General features: G+C 37.2%; 1 protein-coding gene across 29 annotated transcripts in view, besides 4 other annotated features; it reads left to right on the top strand.

Moving 5' to 3' along the window:
* CADPS2 (calcium dependent secretion activator 2) overlaps positions 1 to 15,882 on the top strand; it is a 568,050-nt gene extending 552,168 nt beyond the window's left edge. For all 29 annotated transcript variants that reach the window (NM_001363398.2, NM_001009571.4, XM_047421032.1 and 26 more), the window contains 2 exons: positions 8,712 to 8,816; positions 13,955 to 15,882. In NM_001363398.2, the coding sequence (NP_001350327.1) occupies positions 8,712 to 8,816; positions 13,955 to 14,128 (279 nt within the window). In that variant the 3' untranslated portion in view covers positions 14,129 to 15,882. The remainder of the gene's footprint in view (positions 1 to 8,711; positions 8,817 to 13,954) is intronic.
* Positions 3,269 to 6,819: an enhancer, noted in NCBI's record as "VISTA enhancer hs1809". NCBI's record gives its function as "enhancer in: neural tube[5/9] | hindbrain (rhombencephalon)[7/9] | midbrain (mesencephalon)[7/9] | forebrain[9/9]" and the evidence as "EXISTENCE:transgenic organism evidence [ECO:0001131][PMID:17130149]".
* Positions 4,657 to 5,321: an enhancer, noted in NCBI's record as "OCT4-NANOG hESC enhancer chr7:121969026-121969690 (GRCh37/hg19 assembly coordinates)". NCBI's record gives its function as "activates a minimal SCP1, AML or CMV promoter by ChIP-STARR-seq in naive H9 embryonic stem cells {active_cell/tissue: H9 hESC(naive)}" and the evidence as "EXISTENCE:reporter gene assay evidence [ECO:0000049][PMID:30033119]".
* Positions 16,563 to 17,417: an enhancer, noted in NCBI's record as "H3K4me1 hESC enhancer chr7:121956930-121957784 (GRCh37/hg19 assembly coordinates)". NCBI's record gives its function as "activates a minimal SCP1, AML or CMV promoter by ChIP-STARR-seq in primed H9 embryonic stem cells {active_cell/tissue: H9 hESC(primed)}" and the evidence as "EXISTENCE:reporter gene assay evidence [ECO:0000049][PMID:30033119]".
* Positions 18,564 to 19,094: an enhancer, noted in NCBI's record as "H3K27ac-H3K4me1 hESC enhancer chr7:121955253-121955783 (GRCh37/hg19 assembly coordinates)". NCBI's record gives its function as "activates a minimal SCP1, AML or CMV promoter by ChIP-STARR-seq in naive H9 embryonic stem cells {active_cell/tissue: H9 hESC(naive)}" and the evidence as "EXISTENCE:reporter gene assay evidence [ECO:0000049][PMID:30033119]".

Raw genomic sequence — 21,322 nt, 5'->3', positions numbered from 1 at the left:
GCTTGGGGGACAGCCTCTGGAGGGCTGAGTACATCAACATCTGAACTCATAGTGTTAGCATAGCTTTGTGAGTGAGTGTGTGTGTGTGTGTATTCTCATATATGTACATAGATATGAAAGTTTATCAATTTATAGTACTTTCTCTTTTATTTCATTCATCACCTAAAATAAAATTAGACTGTCACATTTTAAGCCCCATTTGAGTCCTGTCTTAAATTTTTTTGGCCAAATGCAACTGTTTACTTTTCAATGATTTCTACAGCTTTAACGTGTATTTAATTATTTTTCTGTTAAGGAAATATGTGATTCAAGTCAACAGTGAATCTGGCTCTGGTATTCATCTGTCCTTTGTCTATTGAAAAGCTGCCTGTCTGCTATTATAGATATGATATATATATATATAAATTTATATTTATAAATATTTAAATGCATGCAGTCTTTTCATGAAAATTGAATGCATGCTCTGTGCCAGACATTCTACTAAGGGCTGGAGATAGCAATACAAGTAAGATTCAGTTAAAGCCTTGTGTATACTCACAGCTGATTGAGGGAGACATGAACTACATTGTGCAATATTTTTATAGACACCTGTATAGAGTTCTAGGAGGAGAAAATAGGTGAGCCCCTAATTGTACCTAGTAAGAGATAGTATTGGCTAAGAAGCAGAGATAATGAATGATTGAGCTGAGTCTTAAAGGCTGACATGAATCTGGACAGGGAGATGTAGTTGGGAATAAAGTCCACACAGAGGAATGGGCATGCCCAGAGACCGAAGGTATAGAGAAGCCTAGCATGTGGCAGAGCTGCAGGTGGGTCAGTTTGCTGAAAAAGGTTCCTGGGGGACTGCACCGTGACTCAGAGACAGAAAGGTAGCTGTCTACTCCCGTCCTTAGGACACTCTTAAAAGAAGATTTTGGAATGTGTCCCATTTTTATAAGGAAACTGAAGCAGAAAGACATGCTAACAGCTCATTCTCAGGCATGAGTTTCATCTCAAGACTAAGTTGTACCATTTAATAGCAGTTCCAAGAGTCCAATATACTTTTATATAAATCCTACATTATGGATTTAAAAAGCAATATTTACCAGAATTTTATATACTATGTTCAAAATAAGTCAACCAGATGAAAATTTCATATTGCCTAAACGAATCATTCATAAAGGTGATGTTTGCACCCCAAACTAGTACATACACCATTATAACTGGATTTATCAATGAGCCAAACCATTAACTGGTGACTTCACTCAAAAGATTAGGCAAACCAGTATGCATCCCATCAAGGACACTAAGAAAGGGAGGGCAGAACAACTGATTGTCTGAAATTTTCACTTTCCAATTACTAGTCTTTTTAGTGCTAGGAAAGGAGCCACAGAATAAACTTGCAGAGGCACTTGCTTATTTGATAATAAAGAACATTATTTTTTAAATATTTTTCATGTAGTTTGAAGAAAGAGGTAGTTTATCTCTTTGAGGACATTTTGGAATGAAGGGTATTTTGAAAGTAGTAGTGAACTGGAAAGAGCTTGTGCAGCTCCCAATTTACAGAACTTGTCCTGTTTTCGAACTTATTGTGTTATGTAACTGAAGAGGATCTAATTCATCTGGAAATATCTGTTATTATATTCATGTATTTTTTAAAAGATGAAGTATGGAATGCCAAAGATAGGAAAGTTTTTCAGCATTCAACAAGCATTTATTAGGTGCCTATTTTATACCAACCTTCCCAATGTTAGCACTTTTTACACTTTTCATTCCTTAATAGACATGATACTCTTAATTTACAAACTGCCTGATGGAGTTAAAAAATGAAAATTGCCCTGAATATGACTTTATTCAACATGGAAAAAAGCAGCATGAATCACATGCTTCTCTGTTCTGATTGAAAAAAAAAAAAAAAAGATGATGAAGAAAGTCACATATATAGAGTTCTACTATGGAAGAACCAAGGATCGTCTTTCCACATTACATTGTTTTACTACAGTAGAACAAATATTTTCCAGTGTTTTTAATCATTATGGTATATAGCACTTTAAAATGAGTCTTAAGAGAGTATATGAGATGTATAACCTAATAGCCATTTGACTGGTTATCCTAATAGGGAGTGTGATTCTTCAAAGAATTTATTTACATTGTATATTACGTTATTGGATTTACAGATACATTTAACCTTTAGAAATGTGGATTGCTTCAACCTGCAAAAAAAATTGAATGGGCTTTTTTGGAAATAATTAATAGGTACCTTCTCTATTTGTGCATAATCCTATGTTGCAGTGACTGTCAGTAAGGACCACAAATGCTAATGACACTTTTCCTAGTTTTCTTCTGCTAGAAGCACCGAACTACTCTTAAGCATCAAAGGTGTTATTGACAAAACAGAAATCCAGATGTCCTTCTATAGAGAAGTGAAATAACACAGGAGTTATGAGCACAGACTCTGGAGTATAAATATAAGATATAAATCTTTACCCTACCACTTAAGTCATACTCATTGTATAAACTTGAATAAGTAAATTGCTTAATCTAAACTCAGTTTTGTGCCTCTGTAAACTCGGTTTCCAGATATGCAAAATGGGAATAATTACACCCACTTCATCAAAGTTATCATAAGCATTAAATGAATTATTTGTTTGTTTTTTTGTTTTGTTTTGTTTTTTGAGACAGAGTCTCCTTGTATCAACCAGGCAGGAGTGCAGTGGCGTGATCTCAGCTCACTGCAACCTCCACCTCCCAGGTTCAAGTGATTCTCATGCCTCAGCTTCCCAAGTAGCTGGGATTACAGGCACACGTCACAGCACCCAACTAATTTTTTGTATTTTCAGTAGAGATGAGGTTTCACCATGTTGGCCAGGCTGGTCTCCAACTCCTGGCCTCAAGTGATCCACCCACCTCTGCCTCCCAAAGTGCTGGGATTACAGGCACTGGCCTAAATGAAATTTTAACTGAATCACTTGAACTTCTTATGAAGGATAAAATAAATATCAGATGCCTTTATAATTAGAATTCATAAAAATAATACTAATAAAAACAGTATCTGTAATTCACAGTTCTTTATAAATCTCATTCCTCAGTATACTTTATTGTTTCATTTTTATGTCTATACATTAAGAGGCCAGATGAATAAGTTAAAAAAAAAATAACAGACAATAGAAAGTTCTGGAACTCTAGATGATTTTTCTTTATTCTGGAAGAATAAAGCTGTATTGAAGCAACATATAAAAACAGAATGACAACTGGGTTTTTCTCTTCCATTCATTTTTACAAGAATCACAAGCTCATCATGCCTTTTCCTGTAAGTCAAATTTAAACTCACAGTATTTCTATAGAGCATTCAAATCTTAGTATTTTAAAGATAGATTCATATAATCTACCCCACATATTACAGATGAGAAAGCTGAGGCATAGAGAAGGTGCGTAACAGACTCAATCCAGCAAATAGTAGCATAAATGGGGCTAGCACTGCCCACCCTCACGGGGTCTGCATTTGTGTTCTTCCCTGGTGTGTTGACAACCAGCCCACGGCTGCCATGTCCAGATGCAAGTCTCTTCTCTTCCCCCACCATGAGTGCCTCTGGATTGAGCTGGGAATGTTGATTGGCATAGGTTGGGTTAAACACTTCCTGTATTTTTAAACCTAATAGGCTGGTTTCACTTGTCCTTAAATATAGCCCTTACTCCTATTCCAAGCCAGGAAAATATTCACACTCAGAACTTGCAAAATGCTTGTGCCTGGGGGTCTGGTTTTATGGAACCCAGGTATGATAGTTTCAGTGGGGTGCCTTGAACAGGGTAGAAAAACCTTGACATTATTATATTAAATTTACCATTAATATAACATTTGCGTTTTAGTGTTTAGACATGGGAAATGAGTGAAACAGAGCCACAAATTTAGTTGCATTAAATAGAAATATACTGGTGAAATTGTAGTGCATTAATGTTTCTAAATATTTTGTTGCTCTTTACTAAATGATCCTGAAGAATGGCTTATATTTATCAAATTTATCCAAGCCTTCCTCATTTAACAAATATTGTTTGTTCTTTCATTTAACTTTATATTTAAAAGGTACATATTTCCTAAGGTGAGATTTTCTTGGCGTTATTTCATTTTAACACAATGACTCAACTCTTGCCAAACATACAGATTCTTTTGAAATAAATGAAGAAATACATAATCTGGAAACTTAGCCATTTCAGGTCTTAATTCACTAAAAAGTGTTGGTTCTTTTTCTTTCCTTTTCTTTGTCACCTATTGAGACAAGCATAGCTGGAGAAGAATAAAAATACATCAACTAGTTGTACCAATTCATAATCAATAAAAAGCTAAACACTTAAGTAGAAAATATATCACAGATTTGTGCCCTAGCGAAGCAGCTATTTTTACCTTGCCATCATCATCAGAAGCCGCATTCTGACAAAAATCATTTGCTTGAAGCAGCCGTGATATATAAACCCTATGTGGTCTTGTGATTCAGATTTAGGAATATCAGCCTTGGAGGGTCTAAAGGCATTGTGCATTAGTATGTATTGAGACCTCATTCCAGGTGGCAAGCAGCTGGACTTTTTAAAAATAAAACTTCCAAAATAAAGGTGAAGTGCTTGTTTCCAGGCAATACGTGTTATATTTAATTGAATCATCCTCAAAATGTTATAAATTAGGTAAAAAGGAGAGTTGTGCATATTTAATATATTTGTTTTGTATTTCCACTAGTTAACAGAATAATGAAATTCCTTAACTACTTCTCTTTAACTTGCATGAAGAAAGCACGGTATGTTGCTAAATCTCTTTTCACCAGCTCTGCGGAGAAACAACTTTAATCCTTGTTAGAAAATTGCCGAGTCTGGGACTGACAAAGAGCTCATGCTTGTTCTATTGTTAGTGCTCCCCGGCCCCAAGAGCAGAGCCCTTTACAGCTGCGTGGATCCCGCCCGGCTCAGCTGCACTATTTAGGAGATGAGGTTTGTCAATTTCTATTGACAATGGAAAGAGTTTTTCAGGGCCTGTAGCAGTGCTGACACAGTTGGGGATCAATGCCAGCCATTCAGACTGCACCCTCTTTCATTGCTTTGGTTTGTTAATTCAAGACTAAAGGTCCACTGAGGGGGTTCAGGGTGTTTAAGAAAGCTGATGAACTGTTTAAGAAAGCTGATGAACTGCAAGCGTTTATAGCCCTGGTGTGGCAATTTCCATAGTCAGTGGCAACTCCTGGCACTGAGGGAGCTGTGTCCTTGTTGACCCTCTTGTTATTAAAAATGCACAAGTGCTGCGCTTCTCAATATTTCAACACTCTTTCATTGTCAATACCACCTTCTGAGCCCTTCAGCTTGTTGCTTGCTCTAAAGATCTTCTTAGATTGGGTTTGAAAACCTCACCTTAAACACTAGATTAGACTGATGTTCTGTTTTCCGTGCTCCTGTTGATTTGTTGAACCTTCCCAGGGCTGGAAAGCAAGTAGCAGCTTGATGGGGAGGCGGGCTGCTAATATGATTTACCAGTCTACAGTCATGCACAATAAGTGTGAATAAATACAGGGGTCTCACAGAGTCAACCCTAGCCTTTCCCTTTCTTCTATTTTTGCTTTAAAAGAGATATCTCAAGAAAATGCAGTGAGTAACGCATGCCCTTACAGGAGTTGAATGAACCACAAAAAGAAGAAAAAAACATATTTTTGCTAAAGTGGTAGGCTGCTGTCATGGATTGATGTAGAAAAAATTTGTAAAATATACACTTACTGCTTTATTCCTGTGTAGACCAAGGCAAAGAATAAAGCAGTAATGCCATTCCCATACCTTCTGTGCAAGCTGCGGCACCCCTTCCTTTTCATCCCCTGTGGAGAAAAGTGAATGGTCAACCAAGTTGTTTTATAAAATTAACTTTTCCAAAGTGAAAAGGCACTTTCTAACATGGAGACTTTACTGCACATTCACCCTTTTCCAATTTTTTGTTTGGTTTGGTTTGGTGGAGGGGATTGGGGAATGGAGAGAACCTATCTTTGACTTTTTTCTCAGTGTGAGAAAATGGGACCTACCATATTCAGTACTCAAAAGGAGGACGTATTAATCCCAGCACTAGAAATAAGAAAGTGCTAGAGGTTTCTGTCTGGTGGCTTTCATTGTTTGTTTAAGGTGTGTGCGTGCGTGTGTGTGTGTGTGTGTGTGTGTGTGTCTGCATTTTACTGTATACAAGAAAGCAGTCATAATGGGATTTTTGTTGTTGTTAGGCTATTCTTAGTGGCAGCAAATATTCTGAGCTAAGTTGCTGCTTTTCCTTAATCATTTGCTTAATTTGAAGTGTGTCTTGAAAATGCTTTGACTTAGGAGCCAAAATATACGTTCTTATTTGATAGAATAATTTTTTCTTATTTGATAGAATAATTTTTTTCTTAGAAGCTTTTGCTGATAGAACAATTTATTGTCCTTCAAAGTAAGATGATGATAAATAGCTTAAACATTTTACTTAATAATAGTTCTCTTTTTCTGTTTTTGCAGTTAACTTTAGATCATTTTATTCCCAAATTCTTTTTCTCTAAGATTATTTTTCTCTAAAATTATTATTTTGGCATTGTATTAAATAAGTTATATATAAATGATTTCTGTGTTACATTATATGTCTTTTCAATTATCACTTAATTATAAGTACCATTTTATATATAATGGAAAAATGAAGTTAATTTTAAATTATATAAGGATTTTCAAGAACATAAAGATGCATATAGAGTAATTTTAAGAAAGTTTTTTCATTTCCCTCAAATTTATACAACTTACCAAGTTACAGTAACTGTGCAGTCTAACAGAGTAACCAGTATGTTATGTTAGGCTTCGTAAAATATATATAGTTTCTCTCCTTCAACAAGAAAGAAATATTTACTATCCCTTGCAAAATAACTGTAATTTTTAAGAGTCACATCCATTATGACAATATTTTCACTTTCAAATTATCTAGAGTGTGGTGTGGTAGAAGGGCCTCAATTGACTGTACTCATATTCAATATCACCAATACTTGTGAGTGAGTGCCTGTATTAAAATAGAAATCAAGAAGTTGAAGCTGTAAATTATTTGAAATAAGTAGCATAGAATTTAGTGTCGGAAATTAAAGTATCTATAAAAGATTTTGAGATTTAACGTGCCAGTTAAAGTATTGAATTTACTGGAAGTTTACTTTTTTAAGGATTTTGGAGTATGACTGTCTTGTTTTATAGAACTGCTGAAATTTTTACATGTCCTGAATATTAGGAAAGTGCTCATTAGGAAGGAGCAAAATTAGATACAGGAATAACATATTTTTAAAAAATCATGGTCCATCTCACATTTTTAAAACTTGAAGCTTTTATTTATCCATTTGATTGCTATTATTTAGTATATCAGTTATCCATTTAAATTAGCTTATCTCATTTGATGCATATATGTTCATTATACTAACAAATTAATGGAAATAAGCATGGTAAAATGTAAAATTCATTTTTAATTTATACTTAAAATACCATTTCTTGTTAAACTAAATTGTATTGGATCAATGTTAATAAATATAAATCCAGATGAATTTCAGACTTGGATCAGTGAAAATTTATTTTAGAAGTTGAATTTATGGTTTTATTATGTAGAGAAAATTTTTTTTCTAATTTTTTTTCGGTGTTTAAATTCTTTAGAACGTATGCACACACATATGTGATCTGGACTGTCATTATGTTTGTGTATACAAGCAAGGCACAAAATCTCCTGTCTTTCAAAACTCTTTTGTCATTTTCTAAATGCTGAGTGGACATTGATATTTCTCACTTTTATCTGAATGAGTAGCATTATTCTTAGAGTGTTATCTAAACCTAGCTCTGAATCACTGTGTCCCTTAAAAATGTTATTTGTAATGGCAGATTGTCTTTTTTTGAAAACAGGAACAATATTTTCTTTTACTAGACTGACAGACATATAGGAGCAGAAAATTGCATTAAAGAAGAATTTCAGTTTTTCTCTTAAGAGAGTTGTAATAAACAGAAAAATTATGGACCCTCCAAAAATACAAAATGAAACACATCCTTTTCATTCATAATTTGATCAACTGACACCTATTTTGTGATTCTTACAAAAATTCAATCTTGATAATGTTTCTTCCTAAGATCTCAATAAATCTTTATTTTAGATGGTTTTAAAAGAGCTTGGTAAATATTTAATTGATAAAGGTGTGATTGAGGATTACTGTTTAAGTTGTAGATTTTTTTTTTTTTTTTGCCATCGCTACTTTAAAATGTAATTTTAGGTATTGACTACATGACTTATAGCATAACACATCTTCTTTTTGATTTTTATGTAACATGCAGGCTAATAGAAAATTTTCCTTTGAAAATAATTTACCTCTTTTTTCCTGCTGCTTGGCTGTCCATTCAGTCCTATAACATGTATTTAGGATCCTTTGTTATTTACAAATTACAAAGCAGGCCACTAGGCTGCAAAGTGCAAAAACACTGTTTCCGTGAATATGTTACAGCTGAAAGACTGTAACGTTAATTCATTTAAAGAACAGCCTAGGTCAACTTAACAGATTTTCTAGCAAAGCATACAATTCTGTTAACAGGAAATTATAGCATTATTGACTTCAAGTGCTGATCTGTGGTCATTTCAGAGTGTTTTATTACCCCCTCATTATCGAATCTGTTAAATGAATACTGCAGAGGTTGTTTTCTTTTTTTGTTCTCCTCCCCTGTGCCCCAATTCTCCCTTCTAGCAATGGTACAGCAGTTCCATGAAAGTCATTTGCGTGTGGTTGACTGATAGATTAGACCTCCAACTCCATATTTACCAGCTGAAGACGCTCATCAAGATTGTGAAGGTAAACAAAATGTGTTTAGATATGAATTGCCCACTAAGCTATAAGGAATAATGGCAAGATACTGACATACAAGAAAACTGTATTTGATGTAACTAAAAAGTATCACTTATTAGCAATGATGTGCTACTGTTTACTTCCACGTTTAGTTAGATTAATAAATGAATATAAATTTATCTTTTTTGCACTAATAAAAAAAATTTGCTAGCAAATACTCACAGTTTGAGATTAAATACATAAAGCCCCAGCACAGTTACCTGAAGGAAGTAGGTTCACAATAATTTTACATTAATTTTCTTAAGCATATGAATGTTTTATCATAATACAATTACTTCATATTTATTAGGATCATATATCATTGTGAGGGCTTTTGTACTATATTTGCCAGAAGAATAAGGAGAGTCTCAGTTATTTTATTATATGCTGGTACGAAAGTAATACATTGTCATTGCCCAAATCCTTTTGGAAGCATGCCTCTTATATGTAAAAGGTAATCAGTTTGAGTGTTGGAGACCACCCAAAACTACTGACATAGACATCACATAAGTTCGGCAAGGCCATTTTGACTTTAGCTCTTGAAGAGAAAAGCTAATAAATTACATGTCATATTTAGTGAGTAAGATCTATAAAATAATATATTATGCATAATTTTTCACACTTTGTAAATTCTAATGTAAGTACAAAATTTACCCCAAGTTTAACCTTTTCTTAAAATTGGGACAGAAATTTCACCTTATGGCAGAAAACATAACTCTAAGCTATTGAGAATCACCTATTTATTTAAACAAAAGACCTTTACTTTCATTATAGTACCATTTATTAGTAGTATATATGTGTGTATGTACCCACACACATAATGTGTGTATATATGAGTATACACAGTAGTTTGCAAAGTGTCATTCCTCACCTACCACTATCATCATCACCTGGGAACTTGTTAGAACCACAAATTCTTGGGCCCCACCCCAGACCTACTGAATCAGAAATTCCGAGGGTGGAACCCAGTAATCTATAGATTAACAAGTCCTCCAGATGGTTCTAATACATGAAAACATGCTAAAGTTTTCAAAGACCCACTGTGTTACATCATTAAAAGATGTTTCTAGCCACATTAAAATATTTTCTTTATTCCTTTGGTTCCTACAGTCTAATTAGAATACAAATTATTTTTATGCCTGCTTGTTGATCTTGTTAGGCCCACAAATAGGAAAGTTCTGTTCCAAAGTCAGAAATTGGCAAATCTACTGGAAAGTAGAACCAGACCTAAAATGCCACAATAATAGCAATTATGATTACTCATAAATAACAAGTAAAATTATAGCCACTCACAAAATTTTAATACTATAGCTACACATTACATGTCAATGGAGAAAATAATTTTGATCCAGAACACTTCTTATATGGTGTTATTTATTTTACAAAGAAACTGAAAGGACAATATGATAGGTTCATAATTGGCTTAGTTCTCCATTGTTTCTTGTTTCTATAAATGTGACTTGAAGAGCTTTCAAATGAAGTTTGTTCTTCAGAAAAGAGAGTCAGGATAATGTATTTGCCATATATATATATATATATATATATATATATATATATATATATATATATAAAATATACATATGTATATAATATGCATATATATACACATACATAACAGTTGTACTTTATGCAGTGATTAATATTACAATTAGCTGTTTATCCTTATGATAAACCATATTTTCAAGCTAATGCCTACTGTGTTCAAGATTTCAGAAGTTACATATTCAGCCTCCTGGTGTTAGCTGATAGATTATTAAGCTCTTTGTTTTGAGAATAACAATCTCCACATTAGCCCATGATTTGTTTCTTTCAAAGTTATTCCTCATTTCCACACATCTTTATAGTTAAAGATTAAGCAAGAGTGAAATTTTTTCATTTTATTGAGGTATAATTTAAAAGTAAAAATTTTTATATACTCAAGATATACAGTGTGACTTATTAATGTATACTTGAAATTTGCTAAGAGAGTAGATCTTAAGTATTCTCACTAGTGAATATTTTAGCATAAAAGAACAATAATTTTATTAATTATATAGTGACATTTCCATTTTACTGTAAGTCAGTATATCTTCTTTAATATATTCTTCCTAATGATCAATATTTGACCAATAAATATGAAATTAATTTTCATGAATATGTTGATTTTCCATGTTTTACTTTTCACAGGCAAGTCTCCAGGCTTAGCCAATGTGTTCTTGGGCTGATACATTTAATCAAGTCATAGGGCTCTATTTAATAATTAGAAATAATTATTTTCACAATAAAACTCAAAGTGAATTAATAATTTAATGTTCTAATTGTTTTTTCTACTTTGAATATAAACAGACTTTTAGCCAATTTCATACATAGATTCATTATTCTTCAGAACTTACATGGTTTTGCTTATAATGATCATTTCCCAGTGAATTTAAGAAGCTGTTGAATAACACATGTAGAGAATTGTGAAGGCCCATAACCAGACTTTCCTTCCATCCAGGTCACTTAGACTTGGCCTGCATGGTTCAGCAGAGTAGTGTATTCTACCCAGGACCCAAACTACTTGCTGTTAGTAGTCTTGTCCTTACTACTCACAGGGATTGCCATTCTTCTATGCCCATGGAGACCTAGATGCCATCAAAATTTATGTAATAGCCAACTTTACCCTAAACAAAGACACTTATACACCAATTGGTTCATTCATGTTGCACACTAAGAAAAAAACAAATCCCAGAAAGGGTTACACAAAAAATTAAAGACTGAAATTATTTGCAAAGTTTTTACCTTAGAATGATTTTTTGGGGGAGGGGAAAAGTGAAACCCTCAAATAGTCAAAATGGTTGTGTTTGTGTTCTCCATAGTGGCCACATGACATTAAATGCAGTTAACATAAATCACCTGCTTCTTTTGCTAGGAGAGAAAAAGTGAACAGAACTCTGTGGCAGGCACTTGTCTTAAGCAAGAGCCAACCAAACCTTTGTGGAAGCCACAGGGAACATCCAAGTGTCAATAACATTTTATGAATTCTAAAGACAGAGAAAGAGATTGCAAGGCTAGCTGCCTAGTATCTCACCCAACTGGTTATTGCTTGCTAATTGAATAAGAAAGCGGTCTTAATTATATATAAATTAGAAAGCCTTCAGGACTGCAGATCCACAATTCAAATCTGCTCTGGCCAACTTACTGGTAATTAAGCTAAGTCAAAGGAAAGTCATTCCAATAAAATAAGAAAGTTGAACTCAAAAACTCAGTATATAATTGTTAGTGGAACAATAATACTTTACATTAGATGCATCATCTGTAGGTGAATACTTTATGTTTGACATGTTTAATTACAAGAGAGTTATAGGAATAAACACAAATCTTTGTGGTAATAATGCCATGTTTATCAGTTTCCAGATTATCTAGACAAAACATACCTTTCAGAATTATCTCACTGGTTCTGATGCAAATTACAGTGAGTTTTGGTGTAAGAGAGTACTACCTTAGTCATAATAACTTATGACTTAGAATGAGCTTATTATGACAAAATCATATCCCACAAAATGAAATATCTTCATTTGTTGTTTCCCCATTTAACTAACTGAACTTTTTCTCCTACTTTAAAAATCAGTAGTAATAAAATACCAGTCATGTTTAGCTGCAGAAAATTATATGTGAAGAAGATTACACTTTAAAAAGTGAACATGGCTGAGTGCTGTGGCTCACGCCTGTAATGCCAGCACTTTGGGAGGCTGGGGTGGGCGGATCACCTGAGTTCAGGAGTTTGAGATCAGTCTGGCCGATAGAGTGAAACCCCAAAAACACAAAAATTAGCTGGGCATGGTGGCATGTGCCTGTAATCCCAGCTACTCGGGAGGCTGAGGTGGGAGAATCACTTGAACTGGGGAGGCGAAGGCTGCTGTGAGCCAAGATTGTGCCACTGCACTCCAGCCTGGATGACACAGTGATACTCCATGTCAAAATAAAAACAAAAAAAAGAAAAGAAAAAAGTAAACATGGCCAGGCACAGTGGCTCAGGCCTGTAGTCCCGGCACTTTGGGAGGCTGAGATGTGAGGATCATTTGAGGCCAGGGGTTCAAGACAAGCCTATGCTACATGGCAAGACCTTGTCTCTACAAAAAAATTTAAAAGTTAGCCGAGCGCAGTAGCACACACCTGTGGTCCCAGCTCCTCAGGAGGCTAAGGTGGCAGGATTGCTTCAGCCTGGGAGGTCGAGGCTGCAGTAAGCAATGATCACACCGCTGTACTCCAGCCTGGGTAAGAGAGTGAGACCTGTCTCAATCAGTCAATCAATCAGTCAATCAATCAATCAATGTAAACATAAGGGAAACATTATAGATTAATATTTTAAGTGCCACAGAAAAATATTGTTGGATTTTGTTGTCTTGAAAATCATTGTACAAACAATAACATGGTACTCTATTTTTGATACATAATACAGCAAATTTTAATGTATTCTTTTAAGAAAAAATGTAAATACTTGTTTTGCTGTCCCATCTATGGAAGCTTTATGTCAGAATTTGGCACTTCACATCCCAAGGGAATTTCAAAAGAAAAGGGCAAAATTCATCCAGACATTTAGATGTACACAAATTTTTATCCAGTGGTACATGTAAATAAATTTTATAATTCACTGAAATGCTGAAAATGTGAACTTCTTTTACCGATAATAGGATTAATCTTCTTCCTCCACACAACTGACCCCTCAAAATTAATGCATTTTATAAAATATAATGTATTTTTCAGTATTAAAGGAAAGCCCCCTCAATTAAAAAAACTAATAATTTCTTATTAAAAACTTACACAGGTACATATTTTATTTTTGCTACAGGTTGTTCAAAAGGTAAATTGTGTGCAATTAGTAATGTTCTGAGGGGAAAGTGAATTTGTCATCTGATAGTAACAACATTTTGATGTAGTCATAGTAATTGTAGTTTGAAGCAATAGCCAGAGTCTGTCATTCCATTTACTCCCCAGAAATACACCAAGAAGATGATTGGCATGGACAGCCACATGAACCTATCAGTGGATTCCCCAAGATCATTTTTGAAATGCCAACTGAGTATATATCTATGTACACGCATATAATCTAAGTGAGCTAAGCAAATTTTATCTTCTTTCTTCAGAAAACCTACAGGGACTTTCGATTGCAGGGTGTGTTGGAAGGAACACTGAACAGTAAGACTTATGATACTGTGCACAGACGTTTAACAGTAGAGGAGGCCACAGCCTCTGTTTCAGAAGGAGGAGGACTTCAGGGCATTACTATGAAAGACAGTGACGAAGAAGAAGAAGGCTGATATCACACAGCTTTGCAGAAGGAAGGAAGACCTTGATCGACATTGTTTTTTATTTTTTTAACCTTGTCCTTGTAATTACATTCATTGTTTGTTTTGGCCAAATAAAAATGCTTGTATTTCTTTAAAAAGTAAGCCTGAATGTAGAGTAAAAGGGGAAATGCCAAGATTTTGGGGTTTTTTTGTTTCCTTTTTTTGTTTGTTTGTTTGTTTGTTTTTTTGGAGAAGAGCATCCTCTTTTGTGTAGTTTGACCTAAAAATGAACCTTGGCTCTGCTTGTGATCAGAACATGAACTTTTTTTTTTAAAGAAGATTTGAGCATTTTTCTGTAATCACATCAAAATGATGTTTTCTGTGTAAAGCGAGATACATATTTCTCATAATGCAGCATTGTGAGAAGTCAGTTCGGACCACTGCACCAACACTGTCGTATCCTTGTTAAAATGGTGTGTACCTTACAAATTATAATTTATGTGCCAGGTTCGTTTTGTACTTAATTTGCTATTATTGTGATGTGTATAAAATCTTTAATCTTGGTTCTTAGTACTTTGAATTGGTCTACAGGTATATTCCTGGGATGAAAGGATTGCCAAACCCAAATATAGACTAGATTATCCAATGGGTTTGTGTCTTTGTTCCATTCTCAACATTTCTTCTTTCAACTATAAGTAATCCCCAGGTGTGGGGTAGCAAGTGTGCTTCCGTCAAGATACCATATTCTCCTGCTCCAGTATAACAGCTTGCAGGCAATAAAAATCTATTTGCTCATAACTACTTCTGTATTTATTAGACTTATATAGAGCAAATGCAGTAAAAGAGGTTTGCAGTGTTTCAAACATCCCAACTATCTGACTCTGTGTTTTTGTTTCTTGAGTTTTTTGTTTGTTTTGTTTGTAATATTTTGTTTTTAATCAAATGAGTAAAAGATAGTAACACTGACTGTTCTTTGTACCTAATAGGCACATACATTGTTAAAAGAATTACTATGACAGCATATTTCCATAGCAGAGGAAATATATATTTCATATATTATTAGTTAATATTAGTAATCAATGTTAACTAATAATTAGTAATGTTAGTAATATTAACTAGTAATTCACATTATTAGTGGTTCTCTCAAAATATTTTCTTGCTAGGGTTTGAGAGATAATTGTATTATGTTGCGTAAGTTCTCTATGAATTATTTTTGTGATATTTCCCAAAACATATTGGCAGATTGTGCTACTGCATTTATTAATAAGTAATTTTTAAATGAAGGCAGTTAATGCAGAATAAGTGGAGGTATCCCTGCATTTATGAAAACGTTTATTCTGAAACTTTAGAAATGAAACAACTTGGACCTCCAGATTCGTTCTCCCATGGTGTAATAAGTGGTCGTTAGGTACCTAGACTAGCCTTAAAAATCTATTTAATCTACAGTTACTATTTAGCATTGTTTTGGCTCATTTTCTGGGCCCTAGGGCTAAGATAACAAACAAGGAAATTTCTTCCTTCTTCCGGGATTAAAGACTAACTCTACCAACTCACTATCTTTGAAAGGCAGTTTGGGAATGTTCTCCCTCCTTTTCTTCTCTATTCACACACCAAATACTATTTTCTCCAAACCCTCAAATGTCCAGTCATGCTATCCCAAACTCTCCAATGGCACCATCCCCAAGCTTGCTGTTCCACGACACATTGCTCTGTACTTAGTAATTACCCACCCTTCTTTTCCTTTCAATAAAATGTCCATTTCCTTGATACAGATCATCTCCAAATAATGCATCCCTTTTGTCCTGAAGTGTAACTAACTGATGACCTCAAATGTATTAAAAGTCGGCCTTTGTTAAAGAAAAGTTTATTTACTCTAAGAAATGACAGCTGACAGAATTCAGAAATAAAGAAGAAAAGCAGATGCTGCAGGGGAAAGTATTTGCGGCCTGGAGGTTCTTGCTGCTGACCTGGCCTGTTTAACCTGCCCATTGGCCTCCTTGGCTGGTCAGCCCCTTTGAGGTTCTTTCCAGATTTTTATGTTCTCTGCTACTTCCCTTCTACACCCAGGAGAGTCCTAAAAGCTTGTTCCCTACTCTTCACCCACAGTGGCTTCCAAAGCAAAGGCAATAGCAGTCAGGCAGGTAGTGGAGCTACTTGCATCCTTATGAGAAAATCGGAGACCAACCTTTGATCCATAAAAAAGATGTATGAAAAAATTCATAAAGTAACTGAAAAATAATGAAAAGTGATTTTTAAGTTTTTCCTCCAAACTAACTTCAAATTGAACTAATTGCAAAGTGCTTGAAATGACTTAATAATTGTTCATTGATGGGTATAACTATTAGGATGAACACCCAAGCATCTGTCTATTAAAGGATGCCACATCTTATGTGGTATTAACTCTTTTTAAGGATTATTTTTTAAGAAAATGGATTTAGTCAAAGGCCTAACAACTCTTGCAGAATTTTTTAAGTGAAACAATTTTGTCTAAAAAGAAATAGCTATACCCGTCTAAATGATTTGGGGGAAGGGCAAACAGGTACATTATTTGGACAGTTTCCTTAGTGTTGCAGGAGATAATTAATACCATCTAACATCCAACCGGAATGGGTTTGTTAAGTAATACGTCAAGAAGGAAAATTTTTTCAAACACTTGAAGAAAAAAAAAATAATAATGCCTATTCCTGGAAAAGGAAAGAACCATGCAGAGCTTAATGTAAACCTCTTGGCTCCAGCAGTGGGTCTTTCTTGTATTCACTGATTTTTCCACTTGAATTCTCTTTAGTCCTTGCTCATTGTCCCTCTCTCAGGAGAAGGGAGTTCCCGCTTCTTTTGCAATAAACGCCCAGTCAAAGCGTCTATGTGCTGCCACCCCGCCACCCAGGGTCACAGTCCAGCCTGGCCTGGCGCCGCCCTCAGCCTGCAGCTACCGGCGGTGAGAGGGTCCACCGGCTCCTTGAAGGTGTGCTTGAGAGGGAAAGAGGTCACTCAGCCGTCGTTGCTCAGAGATCCTCGAAGCCCCTTTGCGCTGCCGCGGTCTGCCTCCCGAGAGGGCCTGGGGACAGCAGGCGCGGGGACCGGACCGAGCAAGCCCGGAGTTCACAGGAACCCCGCGCCCCCGAGCTCGGACCCGTCCTTCTGATCCCGCCAGCCCGCGTGGAAGGGCCCGCGGGGGGAAATTAGGGCAAGAGCTTGGTCGCTTTTATTTCTTATTCCCAAAACAGAAAATGGAAATTTCCCGGTCCGGGTCCTTAAAGGGAGGTGATAGATCGATGTTCCGGAGAGATGTTCGCGCTCGACTGGCGGCGGGGCATCTGCGCGCCGGGATAGCAGCCCAGCCTGCCAGCTTGCGCTCTGCGCCTCTCGGCTCTCAGCAGCTCCAAGCCCCCGCCACAGCCCTCCGCCACCCACCCCACTTTTGTGAAGAAGTTGGAGGCCTGGCGTGTGGGGTTTCCGGGAGGCCGGTGGTCATCCAGTCTTTACATAGAGTTCCCCTACGACCATCACCGGTACTCTGTACCAGTACTATGCAAGAAAACGAAGTCGCTAATGCGCCTCCTTTTCCCTTCAAGTCCCGCTCGCAGTAACCTTCGAGGAAGAGCCGCGACCCATTTGGCCCCCGAACTTTGCTACAGATGGAGTCGCGTCCACAGGCCTGGGCGGCCGGGCAGTAGCGGAGAGGGGTTGAGAGCAGCGACGCCCTCGAGGGGCATGGCTGGGCAGGTGCCCCAGCAGGAGCTCAGAGCGAGACTTTCTCTGGGATACCCCAGCTTCGGATTGAAGATGGGGAGCAGGGCTGCCTTAAGCTGTTCTCCTCTGTGACATTGAGTAAAATATTAAGGGAGTAGAGGCGAGAGCGAAACTCTGAACCTGGGTTCCAGATGTCACCAGAGGGTCAACCGCTCATTGGCTTTCAGGGAGTAGTCACCGGAGTGCGAGCATGTGCCACTGAGAGATGAGGAGGTGAGGGAAGAATTCGGTATGTTTCCCAAGTGAAGAAGACCTCCGATTTTACTACCCAGATTTGGGTGTACCTGACAGCAGCTTGGACAACCGCAGAGCCCCAAGCTTGGAGTCAGAAAGTCTGGGTTTGGATACTAGTAGCCACATCCCTTCCCCAAGTCTGAGCCCTGAGTACTTGGACAAGTTACTTAACCCCTCTGTAAAATGGGCACTTCATAAGGAAGGTTGCTGGAAAGATTAGAGACGTCATAAGTGGTGGACATTATTAACTGTTTCTTAATGTATGAATGGATTCGAAAGAAATCGTGGGAGGCTGGCCTCTGCCAACATGCACCACCAGTCTCACCGGCCATTCTCTCTGAGGTTGGCACAGGGTCCTTTTGGATCACACGCAGCTCTGAGGATCTTCAGCCTAGCCCCTGGCGTGTCTGTGAACTTGCTAGAATTGTCCAGTTCTCCGGTTATATATATGGCCAGCCCGATGGGAGGAGAGGAGGAGACGGGGAGGGGCAAGGGAACTCTGGTCTCAGAAAGGGCCAGCATCGCTAACAGCAGCCCCTGTGGCTGCGGTTGGGAAGGGAGGTAGCTGGAGATGTGTTATTGAGTCCACTTGCAGATTATGTTGGTCAAGGGCTCTGAAATGGGACGGGGATGATCCAGGAGGTGCCAGATCACAAGCGAGGAATCTCAGGCCTCGGCTGTTGTGGTCAGTGCGTTGAGTTCAAGGGAATTTCAGGTGCAAATGGTGTTCATTAATATTTTCCAAGGCTTATGGGAGCCTAGAACGATGTCCTGCGTCCCAATTCAGGGATGCAACAGAAGGATACACTTGCAAACTGCAAGCGGAACAGAGAGAGAAAGGCAGAGGGGTCCACACCCTTCAAGGTGGCCCCAGCTGCGGAAACCAAGCACGAGAGAGAGAGAGAGAGAGAGAGAGAGAGAGAGAGAGAGAGAGAGCGCACAAGCGCTTAGGGCGACTGCCAGCACCGACTCCTGCCCGGAGTTGCTGGACTGCAGTACTTCTAGGCTCCCAGGAACACTTGAGCAACGCGGCGGCACAGGGTGGGGCAAGGGTGCGCCCCAGGGTCACAACCCAGCACGTCGGTGGCATGGGAGACGCGCGCCCTGGCGGTCTGGGGGTCTAGCACTCTGTGGCCTTGGGGAGGTAGAAACTGAGCACTCTGGAAAGGGGAAGAGACCGTGCCTGGCATTAAGCTGGGACTGGAGCCACTTGTTTAACCCGACTGGTGGTCTCCCCCCAGTCATTTTTTTAAAGTAGCCAGCGGCAGCTTCTGAGTCCTAGACCCAGTGACTCAATACGATGACGTCTTTTATCTCCCTGTACTTTGCAATTTTGCAGTGAGGATAGTTGTATTTGTGTGCTTATTTTTAAATAAACGTATTCTAGACTTGTCCCCAATCTCCGTCTCCGTTGATTCTCCCTAAGATCAATGATTCTCATATTAAGAGGAAGTGAAGAGTTGGTTTCAAGAACCATCAGACAAAGCAGTTACTCTTCCCATAGCCCTGGCCTAGGGTTGTTTATGGAGCCCCTACACATAGATGACATCAATATCTCCCTGTGCAAAAATTTAAAGTAGTGTGTCAAATTCTTTTCTACTCTAAATCAATGATTTCCCCTTTAGCACGACGTCTCTCTTCTCTCTCTACAAATAACATCTCTTTTGGGTGAGACTGAAAAAAAGGAGACTTGATTAAATGCTGAAGAAATGCTAAAGTTTATTCTGTAGGGCATTTCCTTAATATGCCAAGGAACCAAAACCAGTTGTAACTTCGGAAGGATATTTTGGTAGGGAGGTAGAAAATGTTTCAGTAAAGAAAGTTTCATGGTAAAATGTCACAATCTAACAGGACTGAATCTCAAAAAGTGGAAAGTGTAACATGGAAAGACCAACTGAGCGGGCAGATCATGGGAGAGTAGGGTTTTTTTTAGGTCCTGCCCGCTGGACAACCGGGTAATAATTTTTTAAAACAACTTCAAAGTTGCTGTATTGAAGAAGTGTATTCATTGTCATTTACTTAAACTCATTTCTTTTGTTACTTCATGTGATTACTAGGTGTGTTCTTTCATAAAATTAGAATAGTCTATAGAAAGTTGATTAATTTTACAAATGCATAACCACTTCTTAAGAAATGAAATCTGCTTTAATCAAATTGGGATTTTGTTTGAAAAGTTTTTGCTAAGGTTTCTTCTGTAGATTCTCCTGAATCTACAGAAGAAACTGTTCCCCCAGGAACACAGTACTGAATATGGGAGAGCAGATGTCTAGGCACAAGGAAAGTACTTGAGGTTGTGAAAAATACATAGCAAATATGATTCCTGTGTATATTTTAACATTTCCATGTGATTAACCTGAAATCTATCATTGAGCAGAGGAACTGTTTTTAAATCCAATTGTCTGAATAATATTTTGGAAAAATGTATAGCTAACTTTTTAATAAGGTGATAGCCTTTCATATGTAAAGTGGTTTTATTTTAAAATTTCTTTTCAATGTCAATGTCTCCTCTGAATGAAGGGGGCTTTTATTTAATCCCATTTTACAGAAAAAACAAAGGGGAACAACCACTATCCACTACTCAACAAGGAGTTCACTAGTTGTGTGGCCTTCCTCAAGTTGGGGTACTTGGGCTGGAAGGCCAAGACAGCACCAGAAACTAGCAACATTTATTCTAGTGCTCAAAATGTCCGCGACAAATTGGCCTTCTGCATATTTATGAAGACCTTTCTCAGAAAGGAAGACCAGTTGTGTACAATTTCAACAGATAATTGAAGAATCCAGCTTTAAAAGGATACTGAGGAACAGGGTGAATAAAGAGGTTTATATTTTACCCTTGATCAGGGCTGCATTATTAGTGATGAGGTGGGGGCAGAATAGATAGCATACTTTTTGAAAAAAAAGTTCACATTTTCTCATCTTAAGTTCCCATCTATATGTTTTAAATTAAAATCTTTATAAATTTCTTTAAAATAACTGCAAACTACTGATGGATTAGATGAAATGTTAGAGAATATGGCCAACTTTGGGTGTGTATTTTGCAGAGAAATGGGAGCCCCAGAAAACTAAAATTCAGAAGGCAAAGAAGGGAGAAGAAACCTCTTTCCCATTTCTGACTTCCAGCCACCACTACTCCCACACTGAAACAATAAGAGTGAAGGGCTCAATTGCACACCCACTGTGGTGCCATTTACCTTTCCAAGTGACTATGGGAGTCAGGCTCACTTGGAGGAGGCGCAGCGA

Source organism: Homo sapiens, chromosome 7 (assembly GCF_000001405.40).
Source record: "Homo sapiens chromosome 7, GRCh38.p14 Primary Assembly".
Taxonomy (NCBI): Eukaryota; Metazoa; Chordata; class Mammalia; order Primates; family Hominidae; genus Homo; species Homo sapiens.
This window is presented reverse-complemented; position numbering and strand designations above follow the sequence as displayed.